The sequence below is a fragment of the Homo sapiens genome, chromosome 7 (assembly GCF_000001405.40).
Source record: "Homo sapiens chromosome 7, GRCh38.p14 Primary Assembly".
Classification (NCBI taxonomy): Eukaryota; Metazoa; Chordata; class Mammalia; order Primates; family Hominidae; genus Homo; species Homo sapiens.
In genome coordinates this window covers 54,349,942-54,355,947 of record NC_000007.14, presented here as the reverse complement: position 1 = coordinate 54,355,947, position 6,006 = coordinate 54,349,942, and positions in this window count along the sequence as shown.

Sequence of the window (6,006 nt, the reverse complement as noted above, 5' to 3'; positions counted from 1 at the left end):
AGGTTCCACTATGTGTTCTTGCAGCACCATATACTTCTCTTTTGTAGCATTACTATTTATAGCACTATTAAATTACTGTCTCCATAATAAATCTGTGAGCCTTATGAAGGCAGAGAATGTACAGTTTGCTCACCACAGCTTCTTTAGTACCTAGACACACTCCACTGAATTAATGTGTGTATGTATGAATGAATGGTTTAGTAGTTCAATGTCTTATATTTTAGAGACTATGGTATTCACATATGTACATTTTCAAACCAGTATCTTAAGTCCTGAAATAGTCCCCACTTATGCAGTCATATTTTAATTATTTGATTACAACTCTAAATACATTTGAGTTATAATAACTCAAATGCAGATATCTCAGAATGCTAATAATTATATTAAATTTTCTTAAATATCAGACCTTGTGAACTACTTAATAAATCGGGAACATATAAATTCCAGGGTTATTGGATTGCTTTCAGACTACTTCATTTAGGCTAACTTATTCAGCAAACTATTTTATTTTGCACCTCCTTTACACTAATAGAGATTAACATATCTTTATATTTTAACTTCTGTTTGGCCCCTTGTGTCAAACATGACACACTGCAAAATACTGGTATGATCCACCAGATTTGTCAAAGGATAGTTGATAGTGCTTTCAACTGAACACACCCTTTGTAACTTTTAATAAAGTGTAATAACATTTTACATGCAGTAAGGCACCATAGCCATTGAAAACACAATATTCTTCCTAGGATCACTGATATAATAACACATCCCTTTTCAGTTACTAAGATTTTTGTAATCATCTCTTACATTCTCGGTTAGATAAAAACTTAAATGCTGTTTGCCGAATAAAAAATTATATATTGTTGATATTTCTCCAATACAAGGAATAATTTAAAATTACCAATCTTTTTTCAAAAATAGCAATGCAAGTGGGGAAGTAAATGTGGCCCTGAATACAGAATAGGTGAAATCATGTCATTACTTTTTTTCATAATCAAATGGCCCTGAAAAAAATAAACTAAACACTCTTCACTGGTTAATATGATTAAATGAAGATAAAACAGAGACACGAACATCAACAAAGTTCTCTCATTTCCTCTGAACCGGCAACAAATAAATAAAACACAGAGGTACAAATGCTCATGGATACTTTGTACAAGAAGTTAGAAGAATAGTAGTGGCTGTTTTAAGTGTAAAAGAGGGAGGAGAGAAACACAGGGAAAGGGAAAGGGAAAGTAAGAGGGAAGAAGGAGGAGGGAGCTGAGGCGTCTCCCGAGTTATGAGCAGCCCTCTCTACATATGAGCATCCAGACACACCCACGCCCACCGGAAACACCAGCCAGCCAGTCACACGGCTAGGGAAAAAGCGGAAATGAACGGCTTTTATGGAGCTATTACTTCCAGGATGTATAATGCATTGTGAATAAGTAATTACTCGAATAAAATCCTAGTTCATTCCAAAATGTTAATCATCTATTTTTCTAGATATATGAAAAACAAGCCTAGTCAATTCTCCTTTTTATTAATTAATGCATGTTTAGACATCTGGTTTAAAATGTTAAGTAAAGGGGCTTGAATCTTTTTCCTTAAAACTGTACTGACTCTGATATGCGAATGTCCCAGGTGGCAAATAATTAGGCACTCTCAAAACTATCGCTCCCATATTTCATTGGTAGGGGCAGGAAGAGACAGATACTCTGTCCATGCAAGTGAATCCCTCTTTCTATGTGTGTTTCTCACATGGCCATGCCACCTTCTCTTTCCGTTTCTCCTAACCAGGCTCAGCCTGCACAAGAGCATCCCTGATCATGCAGAACTGAGTACAGATCTCGAAGGGTGGAAGGACGGGGGTTAACCTCACAACTACCACAGCGCCTCTCCTCTCACATCTCATTTAGGAGTCTTTCTTCTCCATAGTTGCTCCTTTCAGCTTCTTAGCCGCCAGTTCTGTCACCTTTCTCCCTCTGGATTCAGGGAAAAGCCGTCAAAGCCTTCTAGACCCATCTCTTTCATTTCCTATTCTTCCCTCGCCAACTCCATGCAGATTTTCTTCTTTCCAAAGAAAGGCAATTTAAACTATGTTTCCGTCTCCAGCTCTAAATTTTGCATTCTTCCAGCCCTATTTAGCGATATCTTTAAAAAGAGGAAGTAACTAGGAAATATGGAGCTTACTTATGAAGCCAAAGGACTTGGCCTTTGCTAGGGGATACCATTCTGAGCAGGCAGTGGAGCCATTTAAATGCAAACACATGAGGCTGAGTCACATGCAGTGACCAGTATTGGACTGATTTTGACCTACAGTAATGGAAACTTCATATGGTCAACCGAATACATATATTTTTCTAAGTACAAGTTTAAATTCAAAATGAAATGCTTATTGCCTGCACTAAGCCATGGTGGGGCTGATAGAATTCTGTCAGCTTTAACATACACAGAGCTGTCTGTAGGAACCTGAGCGAATTGCATCATCATCACAATGTTTACCTCCTTAGTTTTCCTCCTTGGTGAGATCTGTTAACAGAAAAGCTATACTCTAAAATATTTTAGAAAAGTTTATTTTAAACCTCTTTTAAATACACTATTTAAAATATGGTGGTCAGATTACAGTTTGGTTTTATACATTTCAGGGAAGCAGGAGTGACGTAAGTCAGTATGTAGAATGTATACATTGGCTCGGCCTAAAAAGGTAGGATACCTTAAAGTGGAAGCTTACAGGTTATAATTGGATTCAAAAATTCTTTAATTTTCAGCTGGTTAAAGGAGTAAGACTCTCTCTAAAACTTGCTGTCAGCAGAAAGGAATATCTAAGATTAGGATCTTAAGTCAGAGTCAGCCACAAGATGCTGGGTCAAAATGCCTTGTTTAGCCAGACTGATGGCCTGCAGGCAGGACTTACCCTGGTCTGGCATCACCTTACATCTTGGTTATAATCTGGTATCTTATTGTCACATGAAATCCATTCAATTGGTCTTATAATATCTATTTTAACATTAATTCTGGGCAGTTTTGTCTAAACTCCATAAGGGGGTGTTATAATGAGCTGTATCCAACCTCCCTTCCCATCATGGCTGGGAACTCATTTTAAGGTTTCTATGGGATCCCTTTGGTCAAGAGGGAGCCCATTCAATGGGTGGGGGACAAGGATTTTATTTGCAACTCACAGGTCTTCCTGTCTTCCGTGGTCCACAGTCCAGAGGACACAAGCTTCACTTAACCAGACATCCTGACAACAGCCCAGAAGGGTAAACACTATTGGCTTTCTGTATTGGTGATATTCTTTGAGTTCTCTTCTGCTATCTGCATCCAATTTTCACCATAAGCTGTAACCTAGCAGGTAGAATTAGCCTTGAAAAAATTATTTAAAAATATGTTATTTAAAACACTTTCTCAATACATTTTATTTCTCACCTTATCACCACGGTGTGATAATGGCCCCTGAAACCATTTCCTTCATGGCCTTTGCTTCTATTTAAAATTATTTTGCTTGTTTGTATTTACTTTTATTCACAGTACTCACTGTATGTAATTCTCAAATAAATTCTCTGAAAGAAGAGATTTTTTTGTCTTATTCACTGCTAATGTTTTAGCATCAAGAACAGGACTCAACAAAGATGTATCAATGGATAAGTAGAAGATTAATTGGCAAATACACTGACTTCCACGGGGAGATGAGTATCCCTAGGTGGTTGGTAGACCTGCCTGTCGTCCTCCCCACCCAGTGTGCCCACCACCAACCCAGCCACTAAAAACCAGAAGGAGACTTGCACAACATCCATGTGGAAAACGAGTTTCTCCTGCCTCAGCCTCCTGAGTAGCTGGGATTACAGGTGCCTGCAGCCACTCCCAGCTAATTTTTGTATTTTTAGTAGAGATGGGGTTTCACCAAGTTGGCCAGGATGGTCTCGATCTCCTGACCTCTTGATCTGTCCACCTCAGCCTCCCAAAGTGCTGGGATTACAGGCATGAGCCACCGCGCCCGGCCCATAGTAATTGGTTTTAAAAGCTCATGCAGAAATGTAGAGAATATGCTGTTGGTGCACATACAAATATGCATGAGCATATACATATAATATACACATAAAAGATATGTACAATATATAGTACACGAATGTATATATATCTCATATATAGTATATGTATATATAAATTACATATGCATAATAAATACAAATGTATAACATGTATTTCATATGTACATACCTAATACATATACATATGCATATACATACAATTGCAATGAGATTAAAAATTAATCTAAAGACATTAAAAATTGAAAATTAAAATTTTGTATTTTTCTTACTTATGCGTTGAACATACAGCATCACGTAATGTAAAAACAAAGCAAAATTCTGACTTTTTAAAAATAAAAACTGTAATCTTACCTCAATATTTTGTGTTTCAGCAACTGGGAGACCAAGCCTGCCTCCCTGCTAGACTTACTCCCTCCTGCAGTTAATGTAGGAGAGAAGACAGATGTTGTAAATCACCATGACTTTATACCTCACTTCTCATGGCTGAAGGTTTAGCATTATCATTTCCATTGGAAACAACAGAGTTAAGGAAGAAACCAATAATTTTCCCCATAAAGGGGATGAAGGAAGTAATCAAAGGAAGTGACATTTTGATTGTTCCTTTAAAGAGAAGCATATTTTTGACACGTTAAATGTAAGCAAAAGTACATCTCAAGCGCTAATAACCACATGGCTAAAAGCAAGGAGGCATACATGTTTCTGGCATCTTTAATGATCACAAAATACTACTAGTGGTAACATTTTTGGAAAAATTACTATGTGCCAAGCCCTGTAATGACTGATTCACTTTGGATTTCACATAAATCCAGCCCCCCAACATGGTAAGAATATTTTTCTTCTTTCTAATCTCTATTTACGTCCCCTCCCGCATCCTGCTTTAGGAAAAGGAATAGCTGCATTTGGCAAACTCTGCAGAAATGTTAAGTGAGATGAAATGAGGAGAGACTTTTGGATGGGGGCATTAGTCAGTCTCTTTTTCCTTTCAAGACACTGGGAGGTGCAGATCGAAGGGAAGCACTCACTGATGGGAGGGAAGGTTTGTTGAGGAAGCTCATCACTAAAAGCCTAAGAATAGTAGTTTTTTTATACTGAAATTTTAGGTGCATTTATTAACTACCACTTATGGCAAAAAGGCATTAATTGAGTGCCCACAAAGTGCAAGGAATACTAAAAAAATTCAACATGATCCTTGCTCATAGAGATCTCCTGGTGGGGACACTGTGTTGCACGTTGTTTGGTGAGCTATCTGTTCACATGCCTGGCTGGCTGACTGAATGAGGAGTTGATGCCTGTGCACAGAAGAGTGCAGAATGGCTTTGTGGGCATTGAGCACAGAGTCAAGACCAGTTAGAACCTCTATTTGCAATGAAATGAGCAGATACATGTGTTTTATATCTGACCAAAACAAAAAAAAAAGAATATTTAGAAAGCATCTCTGCAGGTGATGTAGTTTTTGTTTGTTTTTGTTTTTGTTTTTTTTTCTTTTCAGATAGAGTTTTGCTCTTGTTGTCCAGGCTGGAGTCCAGTGGTGTGATCTCGGCTCACTGCAACCTCCGCTTCCCAGATTCAAATGATTATCCTGCCTTAGCCTCCCAAGTAGCTGGGATTACAGGTGCCTGCCACCACACCCTGCTAATTTTGTATTTTTAGTAGAGATGGGATTTCACCATGTTGGTCAGGCTGGTCTCAAACTCCTGACCTCAGGTGGCCCACCCCTCTGCCTCCTAAAGTGCTGGGATTACAGGTGTGAGCCACCATGCCCGATGTAGTTTTAATGCCAGTTTTTGCATTGCATGCTCCATTACTGGAGCCTGTCCCCAGATGAGTACCTGCTTGCCCAGAGCATGGTTACAGAGGCTGCACTGCAAGGGAGACAGTAGTGAGGATGAACCACTCTGATCATTTATTTTGGTCACATGGAGGTGAGAGGAAGGAAACGTTGCAAGAGGGAACAAGATATCGCTAATACAAAAATGCT